Source organism: Homo sapiens, chromosome 2 (assembly GCF_000001405.40).
Source record: "Homo sapiens chromosome 2, GRCh38.p14 Primary Assembly".
Lineage (NCBI taxonomy): Eukaryota > Metazoa > Chordata > Mammalia > Primates > Hominidae > Homo > Homo sapiens.
The window spans coordinates 84,423,322-84,444,092 of record NC_000002.12 but is presented as its reverse complement, the minus strand read 5'-3'; the positions used below and the strand labels follow the sequence as shown (position 1 = coordinate 84,444,092).

Below are 20,771 nucleotides of genomic sequence, written 5' to 3'. Positions count from 1 at the left end.
TTATGAGAGTTAGGAGGGTGTGCTACTGGCATCTAATGAGTGGAGCCCATGGATGCTGCTAAATGTCCCACTAGGCACTGGATGACCTCTCATAAGAAAGAATCATCCTGTCCAAAATGTCAATAATGCTGAGGTTGAGGAGGAAAAGTGAATGGATAGAGAAATACAGGTTGGTGGGTGGGCAGTATTGAAGGCTTACTTAAGGTGAGTGATCATTAATTTAAAATGAGACCAGTTGACATGTTTTTTTGTTTTTTTTTCCCTTAGCCACTTTTTGGCTGCACATGTATAGGCTTAGAAGTAGGGGAAAAATTGGATTTGACCCAGGTTGTGGTTTTGCCAGATATTTAAGTTGAAGTGAGAGAAAGCCAAGATTGTTGTGGGAGGGTAATGATCTACCATGAATTTTAAACTGAGGAGTGTGAGCACATGAGGAGTTGAGAAACAGGGAGTTTCTGGTTATCAGCCAAGTTTGAAAACAGGGAATCAAAGAGGCCTTGTTTATAGCTATTTTGGCTTTTCAGAGGCTTGTTTTGCTTCAAGATTCAAAGCTATGTTTAGTAAATATATGTTATTGTCTGGGAATAGTTAACCTATTTGTTTTTCTTTTCCTAAGTTGCTAAGATTGCTTTTGCTTCTCTTGGGCTTACCAGTCTGCTGTTTCTCATGGATCTTGTGCTTTTTCCCCTCAGGGCACCTTTCACAGCCAGCAGGCATTGGAATATGGCACCAAACTCGTTGGAGGAACCACTCCAGGGAAAGGAGGCCAGACACATCTGGGCTTACCTGTCTTTAATACTGTGAAGGAGGTAATTAGTGGTACCTGAGTTTGGCAAGACAAGAAAAGCAAGGGAAGAGCGAGCATTCTTTGGGTAGAGATCTTAATTATGTTTTTTTGGTAGAGTCACTTGCTATTTGAAAATTCAGTAACCTAGAGAAATTTGAATTGCCATCAAAACCAGTGTGTTATTTTTGTTTCTAGGTATGAATCAGCTATTAAGGGAGGAAGTACTGTGGCCAGGCTTCTGTTGGGCTTTTTACGCTTTCCTTACCTTTCTTCTTCCAGTATGTTAGTAGTACAAATGTCAGCAACCACCCCTTAATTCTTCCTGAGTGGGGACTATGCAGTAGGCACTGTGCTAGGTGTTTCATTCAAATTGCCCTGTTCAGGCCTCACTACAACCCTCGGAGGTAGGTGCTGTTATCATCCTCATTTTAAAGATAACGATGTTACTAGTGCAAAGAGGTTAGAGATCTTGCCCATGGTCTCACAACTGATTAAGTGGCAGGCTTAGGATGGCTTGGAGTAGAGTGGTCCCGTGTGAAGAAACTAAATTGTAGAGTCAGATTTACAAATCACAGTGTCCTAGATTCTCCGCAAACTGCTGATTTCTTAATAGTTACCTTTTAAAATGATTTTTAAATTAAATTTTATTATTTGTTACAAAACTGATAGGTACTTTTTGTAAAAATTCAGACGATACAAAAAGTAAGTAAAGTTAAATTTTACAGTGTTTTCGAAATCTCAGATTTTGCCTCTGTAGGGAGCTAATTTAAGCTCAGTGTGTAGTCTTTCATTCTCTTTTGACTCTTATATGAATATATACAAAACTAATAGTATTTAAAAGAAACTATAGTGTAAATTCTTGGGTATTTAATTTTAAAAATCTAGGAAATAAACTTAGTTCTTTGGGATGATGTGTTGATCAGCCTTAAATGTATTCTTCCTCTCTTCTTTTGCATATTTTTAAGGTATGTTTTAAAGCATTACATTTTTTAAAGCACAAATTTAAAGTCCTTCCTGCCTTAAATTCTATTATGGCTGATTTTATAACCTCAAAATATAGAGAGGAGATGTTTTTTTACAATTCCTCTAGGTTGACTTTTCTTTTGTCATGAGCCTCTTTTTGCTTTTTTTTTTTTTTTAAAGAAAGTTCTTCTTGCTAAGCAATCCATTTATAATTTATAGTGACACAAATAGTTGTGACATTTGGAATATTCTATAAGTTTTTTGACAGATATTGTTTATTTTTCACCCGTTCTGCTCTTACAAAGGGCTTTTTGAATGAGTAGGGTTGGTACCTTTCATCCATATGACGTCCCAGCACAATATTTGCTGTTGTCACAGTATAGCTTCTGGCAGTATTTGTAGACTTTAGAGGTAGAAAACTATGTAATGTAGGTACTTTTCATTAAAGTACCTACATCCCCATGATGTGACTTTTTTTGATTCCATACTAGTTTTAATGTTTTTTGTGTCTCCCCCTCTGTTATCATCTTGAACAGAGTTTTAAAAAATTATTTTTAACCCCCGGCATCATTTGTGGATGATATGTTGGCATTCTTTGACTCTGTTCACTGTCAGGCTGCTTTCAGATTTACTGACATGCCATAGAGAGTGAGATGTCACAGAAGCTTTCAATTCACAGTGGCATTCAAATGGGCTGAGAAAGGGCTATGCTTGATTCTGTTCTACTCTGACAGTGTAGCAAATTTGAGAATGGGAAGAATGCTATGTCTCTGGGTAGTGTCCTTTTCTTACCCCAAGACATTATTAAAATGATGGTATTGAATTTATTTTACAATGTTTATGATTTAACAAATAATAAGGTGCTTCGTCGTTAATGTTTCAGGCCAAAGAACAGACAGGAGCAACGGCTTCTGTCATTTATGTTCCTCCGCCTTTTGCTGCTGCTGCCATTAATGAAGCTATTGAGGCAGAAATTCCCTTGGTTGTGTGTATCACTGAAGGAATTCCCCAGCAGGACATGGTACGAGTCAAGCACAAACTGCTGCGCCAGGAAAAGACAAGGCTAATTGGGCCCAACTGCCCTGGAGTCATCAATGTGAGTGCAAAAAAACAAAAAGAAACTCAGATTAAGCCTCTCACAAGGCTAAACAGCTTTGAGTGAATGCGAGTGTATTTGTGTGTATGACCTGTGAGTGACTTTTTTTTTTAACATTTCTGAAAACTATGATTACTTTCAGCCTGGAGAATGTAAAATTGGCATCATGCCTGGCCATATTCACAAAAAAGGAAGGATTGGTGAGTTTGTTTGTTACATTCTTATAGATTAAAACGTTATTTGCCTTAAACCCTCAAAACTCACAAAGAATTTTTGACTTTGCAAATCAAGTTTAATTAATTTGACTTGAGTAGAATTTACCAGGGAAGTTTTGTAGTCTATCAATTCTGTATCTTGAATATAATGAGTTTATTTGAGAAGCCGTTACAATTCTGCAGAATCAGTGAAGATTTTTTTGGTGGTGGGAGTTTAAAGATTTTTTTCTGCTCAGCACTCTGTGGATTACTCCATGTGTTTGCATATATCAGTAGTTAATTTCATTAACTGTTATAACTTAGTTATTGCTAAGGAGTATTCTGTTGTATAATTATACCACAGTTTGTTTATTCATTCTCCCATTAATGAACATTTGGGTTGTTTTCATGTTTGAGCCTTACAAACAAGGCTTAGGTCAACATTTGTGTACAGGTCTTTTTGTGGAAACATTTTCGTTTCTCTTGGGCAAAATGTGTAGGAATGGAATTGCTAAGTCATGTTCATATGAACATAAGTCAAGTATATTTAACTTTATAAGAAACTGCCAAATAGTTCTGCAAAGTGGCTATATCATTTTATATTTTCACCATTAATGTAGGAGAGTTCCACTTGCTCCATATCTTCACAAAGATTTGGTATTGTTAGTCTTCATTTTTTTGAGACAGAGTTTTGCTCTGTCGCCCAGGCTGGAGTGCAATGGCTCGATCTCGGCTTACCCCCACCTCCGCCTCCCAGGTTCAAGTGATTCTCCTGCCTTAGCCTCCCGAGTAGCTGGGATTACAGGCATGCGCCACCACGCCCAGCTAATTTTGTATTTTTAGTAGAGACGGGTTTCTCCATGTTGGTCAGGCTGGCCTCGAACTCCCGACCTCAGGTGATCTGCTGGCCTCGGCCTCTCAAAGTGCTGGGATTACAGGCGTGAGCTACCATGCCCGGCTATTAGCCTTTTTAAATGTAGCCATTCTACTGAGAGTAAAATGGTATCTCTTGTGGTTTTGAGTGTCCCTGATGACTAATAATGTAGAGCACCTTTTCATGTGCTTATAAGGCCATTCACATACCTGCTCAATAATTACCTTGTTCTTTTAGATATCACAAACTTTCTCAAAATGTTTTAGGTTTGTAGGCACCTTAGAAAGCAGGGCAGTGATCAGAAAGGGAACTCAGATGGCCTGTCAGGAAAATTGCCCTGCTACTTGGTTAGTTCCTTGAGGAAATAGCCAAAGTAACATTTCAAAGTTAGCCACATTAGGCTTGTGTTTAGGCTTTACACCAAAATTTCTCTAAACTATACTGTTTTTCAGTCATGAAAGATGATTGACCATATTTTTCTCTATCTATAAACCATGGCTACTAATAAGGGTAATTAATTGTCACAGTGGGTGTCGGCTGTGCAGTTTACAGAATTGGGTTAAAGATCATGATTTTTCTTTATTACCAATGTCTCTTGGAGCTGTCAGCCCTGCTGCCAGTGGCAGTACTTGATAATTTCATTTACAAGAGAGATTTCAGGGAGCTCCATAGGCCATCTGAGTTCCAGTGGGGCCAGATCCATGTATCACTGATGCTCTTGTACATATTTGAATATTTCTTATATTCTTGGGTCTGTTTTGAAGGCTGTGGTCTTAAGGTGAGCATGGAAGGAATGCTCTGTGCTGAGTTGCCTTTCTGATCACTGCTCTGCTTTCTAAGGTGAGCATAAACCTAAAAAATGAAAATCAAGAGAAGTTCAGGGAAGTCCTTTAGACCTTGCCTTTGTGAATGGTCATAACCCATTGATGAGACAGTCGTCTGGGAGACTGCTTTTAATTCCTTTGAAAAAGGACTTTTTTTTTTTTTTTAAAAAAAAGAAGAAAATATGTGACACTGTGTCCAGAGTTGGTTCCTTCCAGTGGGTTCTTGGTCTCGCTGACTTCAATGAAGCCGCGGACCTTCGCAGTGAGTGTTACAGCTCTTAAAGGTGGCATGGACCTGAAGAGTGAGCAGCAGCAAGATTTATTGTGAAGAGTGAAAGAGCAAACCTTCCATGGCATGGAACAGGACCTGAGTGGGTTGCAGCTGCTGACTGGAGTGGCCAGCTTTTATTCCCTTATTTGTCCCCTGCCCGTGTCCTGCTGATTGGTCCATTTTACAAACCTCTAGCTACAGAGCGCTGATTGGTGGGTTTTTATAGAGCACTGGTTAGTGCATTTTACAAACTTCTAGCTAGCTACAGAGCGCTGATTGGTGCGTTTTACAATCCTAGCTACAGAGTGCTGATTGGTGCATTTTATAATCCTCTTGTAAGACAGAAAATTTCTCCAAGTCCCCACTCAACCCAGGAAGTCCAGCTGGCTTCACTTTCAACACTACAAGATTTTTGAGGGGGTGAGGAGAGAAAGATGGTTATTTGTGCCAACTCTTCCTATTTTGGTACCATTGCTAATAGTCTCAATAGCCTCCTTGACTTCAGATCCTTAGGTTGAGAGTTAAGGGAAAGGAAGGACTTTTCAGTCCCTTGGATATTTCTGAATGGAATATAATGTAATGTAATAGCAGTATAATAGTGTAATGGATTTCCAGTTTTTGTTAATAACAGCTAATATAATTGCATATCTGCTAATTGAGTGTTATCGAAGAAAGTGATTGGATTCCAAATTGATGATATTTAACTGCACCATGTTATTTATTTCTCTTATGATAGACAGTTTGTTACTCTCAACCACATGTCACATACTTGACTCTTCTGGCCTCTTTTAAAATTTTAAACTGCCTATATTGAGATAACTATAAATTCATGTGTAGTTGTAAGAAATAATACAGACAGATCACCCTTTATCCAGTTAGCCCAATGGTTAACATCTTGCAAAACTGTAGTATAATTTCATAAACAGGATATTGACATTGATACAGTCAATATAGAGAACTTTTCTATAACCACAAGTATCCTTCATGTTACCCTTTTCTAGTCACGTGCCTCCTGCTTCCACCCCCTTCTCAGTTCCTGACAACCAGTAATCTACTCTCCAATTGTATAATTTTGTCATGTCAAGAATGTTATATAAGTGGAATCATACAGAATGTAGCCTTCTGGGATTGCCTATTTATAGTCAGAATAAGTCTCTAGAGATTCATCCAGCTTGTTGTGTATCAATGGTTTGTTTCTTTTTATTACTGAGGAGTATTCATGGTATGAATGTACTTCAGTTTGTTTAACCATTCACCTGTTGAGAGACATCTGGGTTGTTTTCAGTTTGGCCTATTACAATTACAGCTGCTATAAACATTTGTATACTGGTTTTTGTGTGAACATTGTCTTCATTTTTTTGGAATAAATGTCCAGGAGCATGGTTGCTGGGTTGTATGATACTTGCATGTTAGTTTTTTAAGAAACTGCTGAATTGCTATCCAGTTTAAGAAACTGCTAAATTGCTATCCAGTGTAGCTGTGCCATTTTCCATGTCTACCAGCAATGTATGATCCAGTTTCTCTACAGCCTTGCCAGCATTTGGTGGTGTCACTGTGTTTTTATTTTAGCCATTCTGGTAAGTGTTTAGTGATAGCTCACTGTAGTTTTAATTTGTATTCGCCTAATGGCTAATGATATTGATTATCTTTTTATAGATTTTTAAAATAAATTTATTTGCCATTTGTTATCTTTTTCAGTGAAATGCCCCTCCTTGGGTTTTGCCCATGTTCTAATTGGATTGTTTACATTTTTATGGTTTATTTTTTACAGTTCTTTGTATGTTCTAGATACTAATACTTTGCTGGATATCCAGTTTACTTTTTCATATTTATTTAAAAGTATCTTGTTTGTATCTATAAAAACTCTTCTTGGGATTTTGATAGGAATACACCATTACATAAGTAGGTAGGCATTATCCACCTAATCTTCTCAATGATGAAATGTCCCATAGAGGGGAGGGACCGTGTTGAAGACAGAGGATGTGGATGGGACAAAGGCACTGAGAATAGGGGAAAAGTGATAAATGAGACATACGTGGGGTGGAAGTTGTGGTGGTTGTCATTTGTTATGCATTAGGGTTCAGTAAGTGAATAATCTTAAAACTATTAAAATTAAATTTCACTTAAGAGGGTGGTCTTACTCCATTGATGAGTTTTCAGTTTCAACTCACTTAGTAAACATATATGTTTACCTTCTGTGCCTGGAACTGTGCTTTAAGCTGGGAATATAGGGGTTGTGAAGACTCTTATTTATTGACCCATTGAAAATTATAGTCTAGTGAAGAAGGTAGCTGCTATAGAATCTCAAGCACCATTGGTGGTCTTTTACTGAACCAGGTGGTAGGAGAACATTGTTCTTAATTGGAGAATCAGTGTGTGGTCAGGATATTCAAATTTCAGGCTGGTTGATCAAGCCTGACTATGAATTTATTTTGCCAAGCCAAGATTATTAGATAAAAATTAAAACTTGAAATTTATCCTTCCCTTTTTTCCTTATGGACCTTTTACAGATGGATCATTCCATTTTACTGTGTCAGCAGTAGGAGGCCATGTTATGTGGCAGATTCGAGGGCAGGGCTCAGGCCAGCAGGTAGTCTCCTTAGAGATGTTAAGCTGTTGATCGGAGGCACTGTCTTGCCTTCTGAATAAAAAGTTTGTGTTCGTTCCATCCCAAGGCAGTCTTTCTGTAAGGCAAATATAAATATCTGCCTGTTAAAGCTAGGTAGAATCAGTATTTTAGATCAGCTTTTCAGGATTTCTGCTCTTGATAAAATTTTTGTTTTTTAAAAAGCATTATTATGATTTTAATATAATTCTTAACAGTGCTGAAAGTTAGCATTACCTAAAAGTGACCTCAAACTTAGTAGTGTTTGCTGTAACACTAGAAAAAAATAATTACCTGTAGGTTGCTGTAGGCCATTCAGTGTTCTCTTCTTGATCCTCCCTCTGTCCTCAGTATTTGCCATCAGTACCTGCCTTGACCTCAGGAGCAAGAAGAGTTGACAAGAAATGAGCCCTCTTGTTACCGGAAGGTACTGGAATTGTACTGCAAGAACTGCTGTTCTTGTTTTCTTAGAAGAAAAAATTCAACCAAGAGATGCACAACAAGGGTTAAGTAGCAGAGTTTATTGAAGGAAGATAAAATGCATTCAAAGAGAGGAACGGCTGACTGGCTGGCTGACCTCCTGGAAAACAGTAGTGGCAGTGTTTATTTAAAGAGACAGCACACCCTGAGAGATGATTCAGAACAGGCTGCTGGAAAGAGAGGATGAGCTAGCAGCAGCTAATGCTGGGGGACCCTCTTTATGAGAATATTGCATGATTATTCATGAGGGGGGCATGAGAGGGTATCAGTTGCAACCATGTTTTAAGCAGTCTCCTTGTGTGTACATGCTACATGCTCTGTAGTTGTACATGCTAGTATACACCTCGCATGTCTCATTAGCATTTAAAATCTCCACACAGGGATGTGGTTTTTACTATTATAATGAACAAAAGCCTACTGTGTAGTCATTGCCTTCTTGCAGACGGTCAGCAGGCAGCGCCTCCAGGACTTTTCCCAGGGCTCCCCTGCTTGCTTGTTTCTGGCCATCTGCCTAACATTCTTACGTGTCTTATGGTAACATTAGGGCTAATAGTGAACCATTCAATGAATGACGTTGTTTCTACCCCAGAAATACTCTCACAGTGGTAGGGAAGATATAACTTCTGCTTATTTCTTAGTAATGAGGGCAGTAGGAAATATGAAAGCATTGAGGAGATTTAGAGAAGGAAATTATATCTCACTTCTCTTTGGGGGTGATCAGGAAAGACCTCAAAGAGAAAGTAGCATTTAATGTGGACCTTGAAGGATGATTAGAAGTTTTGTCAGATGGTGGAGGTGAAACACTCCATCTTAAGCAGAACAAATATGAAAAGATAGGAGAGCATGAAATATCAATGAGGAATAACCCAGTTTCACTAGGTAGGGAAATAGTAAGAAACAAGTCTGGAGAGGGAAGCTGGGACTCTGCTGGGCTGGCGAGTTAGAGCAGAGTTCCACGTGAAGTGAGGCATCGTCGAGGATTTAGTTGTCACTGTCTAGTGAAATGCATCTAAAAGAGCAATCTGACAGTGTTCTGTAGGGTCTGCTTAGCAATGACTAAGTTACGTACACACCATTCTTTGAATTTGACTTTGAATTTGGTATGTAGAACCTGAAGTTATTGTGTGCCCAAATTCATAGTGAGAAGATGTGTTTATGCATAGGTCACACACTTAGTACGCATTAGTATACAATAATGGTGACATAGCACTTTGTTTAAGAGTGTAAACATGTAGCACGGAAGTTGAGGTAACTTATAGTTATGGTTTTTGTCTCAGGTTGACAAGAATTCTACCTGCCCTGGTAGGGTGATCATATTGTTAGAAAAGGGTCTTCTGAGTTCTTCAGAGTTGCTCCAAGGCAGGAGTTTAAGGAAAGTAAACCATGGACACCCTGGATTAATTTTTTTGTTTGTCTAAAGTATTACATAGATTGTGGCTTTGAATAAATTACCTTTCTGGAAGCTCAGCCAAGCATAGTAAACTACAAGAGAAGACATCTAACTGTCACTCCTCCCTGGCCCCCACTGGCTCTCCTCCCTCGGCGCACACCTAATCCAGATGTGAAATTAAGTGCTTTCACACAGGTCCATTTATAAAGGAAATTAGGTGGGAGACTTGATTCCAGAGGGATCTTGACCTTATTCCCCAGTTTTCTTTATATTGATTTTAAAGCCTATATATTGGTTGAAAATCATTGGGAAAATAGTTGTGGAGAAGATAGGTAGTATTTTAAAATGTGACTAATGCTAGTTTTGATGGTTTAATAGTTTGGGTACTGTATTATTCTGTTTTATATTGCTACAAAGGAATATCTGAGCCTGGATGATTTATAAGTAAAAGAGATTTGTTTGGCTTATGATTCTGCAGGCTATACATGCATGGTGCTAGCATCTGTTCAGCTTCTGGTGAGGCCTCAGGAATCTTTTACTCATGGCAGAAGGTGAAGGGGGAGTAGACGTGTCACATGGTGAGAGAGGGAATGAGAGAGGCCAGGATCTTTTCAAGAACCAGCTCTCATGTAAAGGAACAGAGTGAGAACTCACTCATTACCATGGAGAGGTCACTAAGCCATTCATGAAGGATCTATCCCCATGACCCAAACACCTCCCACCGGGCCCCACCTCCAACACTGGGCATCACATTTCAACCTGAGATTTGGAGGGGACAAATACCCAGACTACATAAGGTAGTATAAGTCTAATCTATTACATTCTGCCACTGTAGGTATGATTAGTACCTACCAAATTTATACTGATACTAGCTTCTTCATAAAGATTCTCAGAAGAGGTAATTTAAGTCTTTCTTGCATTGTTTTTATAGTCATAAAATAACCTTAACTAATAATATACTTTCTCCTTTGTCTAAATTAAAAAACCCCCCTGCTTGAATTTAAGCCTTTCCTTTTCATTTCATCGTTTGAAGATACTATTGATTTTGATGGCAAATCATGGAATGAATTTTATACCTATGTTAGTCACTCGAAGTGTTTGGTAATTTAGTTTACCATGTTTTAGTCTAACATAGAAACACAATCTAATATTTTTGAATTCTCTTTCGTTAAGGCATTGTGTCCAGATCTGGCACCCTGACTTATGAAGCAGTTCACCAAACAACGCAAGTTGGATTGGGGCAGTCTTTGTGCGTTGGTGAGGGACTTTTGCTAAAATCATTTTATTGGAGTGTGGTGTCTTCATTGGATGAGTATAATAATAATTATTGATTTTATTATTTGCAAAAGATTTTGATACTCTTATGAAAAGGATGTTACGATCTCAAATTTAATTTGCTTAAGTGTAAAGTTATTCTGTAGTTGTTTCAAGATTCATGGTCCAAGATTTCATTTCTAGGTTGAAGAACTAACATCTTGGAACACGTGGCTCCCGAAGCACCTTGGTGCCTGAAAACATCACTTGGTTTGATTGCTCTGAAGAAATGGTTCCTTATATTAGGACTTTTGTTATCATTGCCATTATGTTCATCAGTGCTTTATAGTTACTGAATTCTTTGCCATTCAGTGTCTCATTCTTGAGGGAAGCCTCTCAGGTGCCTCTGAGCTGGAAAATTGTACTGTTAGAGCCTTATTGGTGAGAAAGTCAAGGTTGAGGAAGGTTCATTTCCTCAGAACCTCTCTTTTTATCACACTATACTGCCTCCCATTTGAAAAAGTAAAAATTACAAATTTTTACATTTTAAAATAATTTCATTATTTGTTGCCAAAAGCCAAGGCAAATTCCTCCTTTTCATATTAATAAATATTCTTTCAAGTTCTTAGAATACCTGTTAATGTTTTAGAATTATCTTTACGAAAAAGTAACATATAGCTCTGGAGTGTTTTTATTAAGATTCAAATTCATAAATTAAATATTGAAAACATTAATTGAGCATTTGTACATGCAAAGCACAATATAAGTGGAAGATACTTTTTAGTGTGACAGAGAATAAGAAAAGGTTTGAAACAGGCTTACCGATTCCTTCTTTTCCAGCTTCAGTTTTGAATTTGTAAGTGGAGGATAATAATGCCTATCTCACAGAGAAGTTGAGAAAATTAGGAAATGACAGATCTAACGTGTGCCAAAGCATAGGACTTGACACACGGTTGGCACTTAATAAATGCCGGTTCTCTTCTTCCACTCCATTTTTCAGAGATGCAGTGAAAAGAAAGAAATCAATCCTGCCCTCAGTAAGTTTGTAATTTAAAAATAAAAAACGGCAGCCTGTCTGTAGGGAACATTTACTTTAACCCTGTCCATGAATTTGTTCTTAAATGTGGTGTGTAGTATGGCTCTGATATGCATGCTCTGTCATCATCCACTCTGGATCCAGAACACGAGCAGTCAGGGTACTCACTGTCACTCACTGGCACTTGTGTCTTAAAACTTGTGGGTGATTTATCTGCAGCATACTTCATCAAATAGTTTCTTTACTCAAAGAAATTTGTTAAATGTTTATTCTTTCCTCTGGTGTAACATCAGCATGCAACACAGATACACATTTTCTTAAAATGTTCATTTCTAAGGAGTTATCTGGGAATAATTTTGTGGGACAGAAGAGGCTTGATAAAGGAGCTAAAACAAAAAGAGGGTTGTCTTCGTTACAGCCCTAGAATATTCCTAGAATATCAGGAACCAACCACCATTTAGCATTTATATAATATTACCAACAGAAATAAATGTAGCATTTTGTGATTTTTTAAATATTAAATGCAAGAGCAATGATACATTTAAAAATATAAGAGAGAAGGGTAAGAAAAATGACAAACTAGTTAAAAACATTTATTGACCTAAATTCCATGGTTCACCCTTAAATTTCCAGCTATTGATATTTTTCAACTTTTTCAGGCATTGGAGGTGATCCTTTTAATGGAACAGATTTTATTGACTGCCTCGAAATCTTTTTGAACGATTCTGCCACAGAAGGCATCATATTGATTGGTGAAATTGGTGGTAATGCAGAAGAGAATGCTGCAGAATTTTTGAAGCAACATAATTCAGTAAGTTTGGGTTTGGAAAAACATAGCTCTTTGCTCTTAATATCAGAGGCTTGTTTCAGAAGTTATTTTTATTTTTTCAAAGGTGAATTTTTTGAGAAAACATGAAAGATAAAACTTTCTGAGCAGGGCCTTCTATACTGGACACTCAGACAATTCTGTATTATTTCTGGGTTGATTCTCTGCTTCTCTATTCTGAACTCTCCTCCCCAGGCATCACCCCACACTTTGTGGTAGGTAAGTCGTTCTCCTGCTGAACAGATACATTCAGGCCATCAGCCCGAGAGCCCGCACTTGACCTGCAGACTTGGTTTTCACCTGTGACCAGTATTCTTTCTCCCGATCTCAGAGGGAAATAAGTGGTTTTTTCTCTTTTTCAAGGCTGACCTAAAGATCCTATCCCTTGTGCTTTTTTTCAGGCTCTGGCTTCCTTCCAGTTTTAGACTTTCCTTGTGGAATGGCACTTCCCTTCAGAGATCAAGTAGAAAAGCTTTACTGTCTATGTCCTGGGGAGGCTTTCCTTGTTGCTTCTCACTTAGAATTAAATGTAAAGGAGTAGTGTTGAGTTATGTCATCATTTCATTCAGCTTGAGGGAGTTAAGCCCTGTTCCTGTGGTGAAAGGAGAGATGGGGGTGCGGTAGTGACTGAAGCAGTGTGGTGGCCACCAGCCCCCACTCAGTGAATTTGTGCTGTGGCCATTGTTGTGTCAGAGAACTGTGGGAAAAAAATCAAGCAACTGATTTTCAGAATTTCTCTTATACTGAGGAATGAGTGAAAATTTTTCTTCAGGGGACCAGGCAAGAGAGTGGAGATCACTTTCTCTCTATATGTATGAAAAAAATCCACCAGTGAATGAATTAAATGCCACATAAAATAATACTGGAGAGTTAAAGGAACCAATAATATCATGTACAGGGTGGTTTACACAAAACAAGGCATATTTATTTGTGTTTTAAGGAATTTTCAAGGGCTATTTTGAATATACTTGATTTTCTTTTGTGGTGATTTTAAGCCCTAACTCCCATATTAGATATGACTCAGGTTTACCCTCATTCTCTCATTCTCTTTCCTTACTTTTCATTCATTCTTGAATCCTCAGCAATCAGGCTCCTGTCTGTCACTTAGAAGCTATATGACCTTGGGAATGCTTAATCTCTCGTTGCCTCAGGTTCCTTATTGGAAAAATGACGATATAGTAGTGCCTGCCTCCTAGAGTTATTGTAAGGACTGCGAAGTTTAAATGACTTAGTAACGTATAGCAAAGTAGTGCCCGGCACTTAGTAAGCACTCTTACTGAGCCACTGGCTGCTGTGGAATCTTCTTACTCTCCTGACATTGTGTTTGCACAGAGGTCACCAGTGGCCTTGATTCATTCGTCATCCTCTCCATCCTCTTGGTTTCTTTCTGGTTTTCCTCCTCTTTATCATTCCCTGGATCTATTTTCTGTGCCTATTTCTATGGCAGAAACCTGAGAACTAACTTTTATTTCTCTCTTATCCTGTTTCTACTCAGTTACCAAGATCTGTCTCTGAGACATCAGAGGTTTGTCTGGATTCAGAGCCTTGTCTGTACTTAGTCCATCTACTTTGGTTTGGGTCCTCATCCCATCTCATCTGGACCATCTCAGTGGTTTCCTTCTTGATCTCTCTTATTTTCTCCAACCACCCCCCTTTACTCTTAGGCCATTCTGTTTATGGCCACCCAAATTATCTGCCCTTCTGAAACATGGGTATTGGTGCTGTTTGTCCTTGGTTCACATCAGACAGTGTTTCCCATGTAATGTTTCCCATTACATGTCAGCTAAAGGCAGATTTAGCATGGTATTCCAGTCCTTCACATACCATCCAAACCTTCCCTTTTAGATCAGTTTTCCATCTGACATGCCAGTTTTCATTCTCACTTGCCTTTGCTTGTTCCTTCTGCAAGGAATGCTTAGTATCTGACTTTCACTCTAGACTGTGTTATGGACTGCAGGGAACTGTTAACTTCAGTGCCCTGCCCAGTCCCCTGGCACAGTGGGCACCAATACAGGTCATGTAAATGGAAGAGTAGATTGTTAAGGATTGGAGTAAAATGTTAGATTCCCTTGTGTTCAGAAAGTTGTACAGTTTGAAATATAAGTAAAAACTGACTTCTTTAAAAAAAAAAGTTTCGGTTAATACAGCATTGTGCTGTGTTAAGTTGAATTTAAAATGTATTTGGGCCCAATTCTGAATCCCTGGAATAGCCTAGTATTTAGTGGGAAAAATGAAACATAGACATTTTGTTTCATTTGGCAACATGTTTCCTATTCCTGGTTAGTTGTTATGGAATTAATTTTTATTGAGAACCTAATGTGTACAAGATTGTAAGTTAAGCAGTTCAGATGCTGCATTATATAAAATGCCTAGTGTAATACTTGGTGTAAACACTCGATAAACATGATCTGCTGCTGCCTTTCTTGTTATCATTACAATGATGATAATTATTTGCAAACGTTCTGGTGTTTAACTTTTATCCTGATGCTTTGGTAAGTTGTTTTTGTTCTTTCTTTATGAATGAGAAAACTGGTACAGGAAGATTAGTAACTTGACAATGGTAGGTATACAGCAAACGAACTGGGGTGAGATTCATACCCAGGTTTGTCTGACTTCTCCATTTCACCATGGAAGGATGAGGTGTCAGATTGAAGGAGTTAAGGACAAAGAGTCATCAATCCTGGGCATAGGCTCAGACTACACTGATAGCATTCTAACTGGCCTTTCTGTTTTTAGACATACCTTTCATCATTTTTGTGTCCTATTTTCAGACTACACTTCCCCATAGTCTTTTAGTTGTAGTTCTCTCCACTTAAAAAACAAAAACAAATAAGCCTCCAATGGCTCTTTGTTAATGGGACAGATGCAAATTTGTTTGCCATTCTAGGCTCAACAAAGTCTTGATCCTTTCTAGTGCAACAATATTCCCACTTTTTGGGGAACAGGGGAGTGGAATCAAATACAAATTAATGCCACTCAAACATGAGATTCTCATATTCTATGTAGATCTTATGAGTGAATGAGTAAATAATTTGTGGAGTCTTTTCTTTTTAATTCTATACCATAGGTACTACAGTAGGTGCCAGGCATACCGAAGTTAGTGAAAATATAACCTCTGTGTTCAGGGAATTCATAGTTTAGTAGAAGAACACACGGGGAATAGGTTATAGCCAGTGTGCTGAATTTAATAGTAGAAGGGTGTAAAAGGCACAACAGGGTCACTGATGAGATGATCACCTATGAGGGCATTTGTGGGGAGGGTGGGAGGGAGAGATAGAAAAGGCTTATGGGGAAGAGGAAGCTAGAGTCAGATCTTAAAAGTTAAGTAGGAGTTTGCCAAGCATCCAAGGAGGGTGGAGAGCATTCTCAGCAAAGGCACAGAGCTAGAGCATTCTGGGGTTACTGGAAGATAAGGAGAAAGGGAGGAAAGGTGGCAGATGAGGCAGGAGTAAGCAGTGTCTGACCATGTAGCTCCTTGCATGCTGCATCTTAGTGGGAATCAGGGCAGTCAGTCGAACCAGAGTAGCAGTCATTCACTGCCATGTACTACTCACAGTGCAAAGAAAAAAAAAGCCAGTTTCACTTATGAGTGTCCTTGATGAAGCAATGCAAATTATTAATTTTATTAAATTATGACCCTGGAGTCAGTATTTTGTGATAAAATGGGAAGTAAAGCATTGTCACAATTGAGTTGTGAGCTGAACTAGCTGCCCTTTTCATGGGACACCAATTTTACTTGAAAGAATGACTGGCAGACGAACTGGTAATTCAGACAGATCTCTTCTCAATAATGAACAAAGTAAACCTGCTGTGTCAAGGGAAACAGTTGATAGTATTTGTTGCTAATAATAACATTTGAACTTTCAAGTGAATATTTAAAATTTTAGAAAATTTGCATCTGCAACTGTGAGCTTGACAGCTTCCTCCTACCTAGAGGCTTTTCTAATGAGCTTGATGGTGATACTGATAACTGATTTGTTGTTATTAAATGATGAAACATGTCAGCATTTGGAAGATCTGCATAACTCAGTGAACCCATACATATTTCCTAACTGAGGAATGCATGTTACAAAATCACTGTGGTTAAAAGATCACTCAAAGTGCAAGACAGATTAATGAGTTTTAAATTAACAAGGGACAGAAAGTTCACTGCTATGGTTTCAGATTCCAACATTGCACCTAACCTGTAAGAAATTACCACTTGAGAGATTTGGTTAGTATCAAAGAAGAATACTCCCAATTATCTGTAAGGCAGTCATTTAAAATACTTCTGCCTTTTCCAGTTACATATCTGTGTGAGGCTGGATTTTCCTTTTATACTTCAGCTTAAATAACACACTACAACAGATTGAATGCAAAAGCATTTATCAGAATCCATTTGTCTTTCATTAAGTTAAACATTCAAGAGTTGAAAATATAAGTGGTAAAATAACGCAACTCTTCTCACTAGAATGGTTTTTAAAGTGTTAAAATGTTATTTTTAAGTGAATTAACAAATATTTATAAAATTTGTTTTAATTTCTAATATACTAAATATCATTAGATATAATACATATCAACAAAAGCTCTTTGAGATCGTCAATAATTCTTTTAAGTATAAGGGATCCCTAGACCAAATGATCTGAGAACTGCTGGTCTAGGGGAAGATGATGGTACCTAAGTGAAAGCTCTCAGGTTCCACTTGTGCTCAAGTTCTGCCTTTTCAGTCCTCTCTGTTTTACCTGGTTCCTTATTATCTCTGGACTTCTGTTATGAACATGATATTACCATTAATTATGAAACTTAATCATATATTCATATATTAGTTTATGGTATCTTTTTTTTTTTAAGACAGAGTCTTGCTCTGTCGCCAGGCTGGAGTGCGGTGGCATGATCTCAGCTCACTGCAACCTCCGCCTCCCGGGTTCAAGCGATTCTCCTGCCTCAGCCTCCCGAGTAGCTGGGACTACAGGCGCGAGCCACCATGCCCAGCTAATTTTTGTATTTTTAGTAGAGATGGGGTTTCACCATGTTGGCCAGGATGGTCTCGATCTCTTGACCTCGTGATCTGCCCGCCTCGGCCTCCCAAAATGCTGGGATTACAGGCCTGAGCCACCATGCCTGGCCTATGGTATCTCTTAATGGATTGAGGTATATACATATTTTATATTATTTCTTCAACTACTTTGCATGTCTAGAGTACAGACATTTTTATATTTTCTTTTTTTTTTTTTTTAAACCTCAGAATCTAGTATATAGAGATTGTACATTAGAATGGATTTTTGCTGAATAAAACCAATTCTGATCTTCCCTCTTAGACACAGAATTCCAGAGTGGAAAGGGCTTTTGGGCATCAATCCAGTTTGGCCATTTCATTTCATAGATGAGGAAGCAGAAGTCTGGTTCTCAAGAAGCCTTGTCCAAGGTCGTGCAGCTTTTGTTACTAGAAAATTAAGTCCTAGGTCCTTTCCAGTATACTTCCCACCTCATCTTTTTCTTTTAGCACATTTATTAAGGGTGAACTAATAATGAATTAAGGCATAATATTAGGTTGAAGTAAAGCAACCCAGTCTTGTGTCTTAAATTATTATTATCGCAAATCATATTTTCCAGTATGCTCTTTTACTTTTCAAATGATAGCGTCATGTGTATTTGTGAAGTGGAAGTTTTATATTGAACAGATACGGACATTGGCACAGTGTTGTATTCCTGAGTTTGTATGGAAAGTTAACTCAAAGGAGAATGCAGTGGTTTCAATCATGGTTTAATATTTGTGTTGGTTTTCCTAAGATGAATGGTGGGCTTTCCCCTGCCCAAGCCATTTACCATTTACCAGCAGAGTCATGAATTTGAGGTCCCGTTTTGATTGACTTCTTCATTAGAGCATTTAAAATATTACTTTCTTTCTAGGGTCCAAATTCCAAGCCTGTAGTGTCCTTCATTGCTGGTTTAACTGCTCCTCCTGGGAGAAGAATGGGTCATGCCGGGGCAATTATTGCTGGAGGAAAAGGTGGAGCTAAAGAGAAGATCTCTGCCCTTCAGAGTGCAGGAGTTGTGGTCAGTATGTCTCCTGCACAGCTGGGAACCACGATCTACAAGGTGAGCTCCAACAGTGGCCCAGGTGCTCTGAGGTTGCAGGCTTTCTCTGTGTGTGGCCACACTGGATACCTGGAAATCATGGCCTTTGCTTCTGGGACTTAATTGGTTTTCTGATGTGCAGCTTAATAGTTTGTATCAACTCTATTGATGTCCTAGTGCCCTAATTAGGCATGACCAGGAATAATGTTCTTATTTTAAAGCTTTCTTCTTTAAACATTGGGATTTTTATTTTTGTAAGTGGCAAGATACAACATACACAAAAAGCATCTTGAAGATCGTAAGTGTCATGATTTCCATTTTGAGAGTTTGGAAGGTAGCTGTGCAGAGAACTGCTTTATGTTTTGTTACTTGTTTTTTCCTTTGGGATATAGCCACCCTGACCCCATGGGTTTCTGTTTCTAGGGAGAGGAGGTTGGAGGCTGAGTAACAAGAAATGGAAATTGGATGAAGAAGGAGTTTGGGTGGAGGGAGATCTAAAGAGGATGGGGAGATTGGCCCTGGCTATGTTGTGATACCATTGTTAACCATTTTTTTGGTTTGTTTTTGGTTTTTTGTTTGTTTGTTTTGCTTTTCCTTTTTTAATAGGACATTATGGGTTTAAATATTCTAAGTAATTTGATGTCTTTTGTAATCTCTTTGCACTGATTTTCAGCTTGTCTCTTTGAGTGATCATTTAAGGCTCTCTCTCCCTCATTATTTTTATGATGGTATACCCCTGCCACACACACACAAAAAGCAAAAAACAACAAAAAATCTCCTCTTAAGCATGCTGAAAATAGGTACCAGTTGGTTTCCTAGAAGGGAACAGCATTCAGAGAGAATTTCAAAATCCTGATTTGGTGGTCTTCTTTGCCCTTGTCTTAGAGATAAATAAAGTGGACTCCTTTTTTTATTGATCTTTGCATGATCCTGCTCTTGGAATATAACACTATGTGCCAAAGTGTTTGAAAGAAATCTAGGTGCTTAGTGAGAGTGAGAAATAATTTTATTTGAAGGTGGGGTAAGGAGAAAAGCAAATGCTTAAATTCACATTGGAGATGTGTGTTACCATTTTCTTCCAGTAAGTGGCAGCAGGGATCTACACATTTTATCCTAATTGTTACAATCTAGAAAAATATGATTTTTGGTATTGTTTCCTTAAACACTACTTTGCTTAAGATATTTGTTTGTTTCAGGTATTTCTAAGGTTCTTGACATTTTGTTCAAATCCTTGTAACAATCTGTCTTTAGCTTTATTCTCTGAGAAACTGAGCAAACCTGTTTCCATTGCCTTCTTAGAAGGGTTCATGTATATAGCACTACAGAAGCATAATGAAGTTTCTCAGCTCCCAAAATTATTGTTATTATACTGCTGTGAAAAAATAAATATTATTCAAAACCTCCCTCTCTGCTTCTGGATTTAGGAAATGTAAAGTTGAAGCTCTGCATCTGTTTCGTGAAATTCAGGCTGACACAGACTGATTTTGAAAGCTGTTATTCTGTGTTCAAACACCCTCATCCTGGTACATTTTTCTTCTGTAATTTGATTGTTCAGGGGATCCTAAAGATAATAGGTTTCAAAATCATTTTGATCCTAAATGTGATTTGGATCTTTTATCTTTATTCATTCCATCTCTCTTCTCTCTCTCTTCTGTTTCTGAAGGAATTTGAAAAGAGGAAGATGCTATGAAAGAAAAAAAAAATTCCTAAAACTGTGGAATGGATCACGTAGACATGTAACCCAGCAGCAGTTTGCTTCTGTTGTCCACTGATTAATCAGCCTATGTGCCTGACACTGGTCTTGCAGTACAACTGGAAGCCAAAACAAGGTGGAAGATGTCCTGAATTAAGATGTTTTCACCACATTGTATTACAGAGACAGCCAATAAATCTACTATTTGATTTCAATATGGTTTTGGAGGCTTATTATTGTTCCAGTGTGAAGGATGAGGAGAGTGGGAGAAATGGAGGTGTATTTATGTGTGTGTATGTTTTAATATGTTCTTTTTGTTTGTTTGTTTGTTTGTTTGTTTTTCTTGGAGACAGAGTCTTGTTCTGTCACCCAGGCTGGAGTGCAGTAGTGTGATCTTGGCTCACTGCAACCTCCGCTTCCC

General features: G+C 38.2%; 1 protein-coding gene across 1 annotated transcript in view; it reads left to right on the top strand.

Moving 5' to 3' along the window:
- SUCLG1 (succinate-CoA ligase GDP/ADP-forming subunit alpha) overlaps positions 1–20,565 on the top strand; it is a 35,753-nt gene extending 15,188 nt beyond the window's left edge. Inside the window, exons 3-9 of the mRNA NM_003849.4 lie at positions 693–809; positions 2,634–2,846; positions 2,989–3,046; positions 10,658–10,741; positions 12,434–12,585; positions 18,490–18,678; positions 20,321–20,565. Coding sequence (NP_003840.2) covers positions 693–809; positions 2,634–2,846; positions 2,989–3,046; positions 10,658–10,741; positions 12,434–12,585; positions 18,490–18,678; positions 20,321–20,347 — 840 coding nt within the window. The 3' untranslated portion in view covers positions 20,348–20,565. The remainder of the gene's footprint in view (positions 1–692; positions 810–2,633; positions 2,847–2,988; positions 3,047–10,657; positions 10,742–12,433; positions 12,586–18,489; positions 18,679–20,320) is intronic.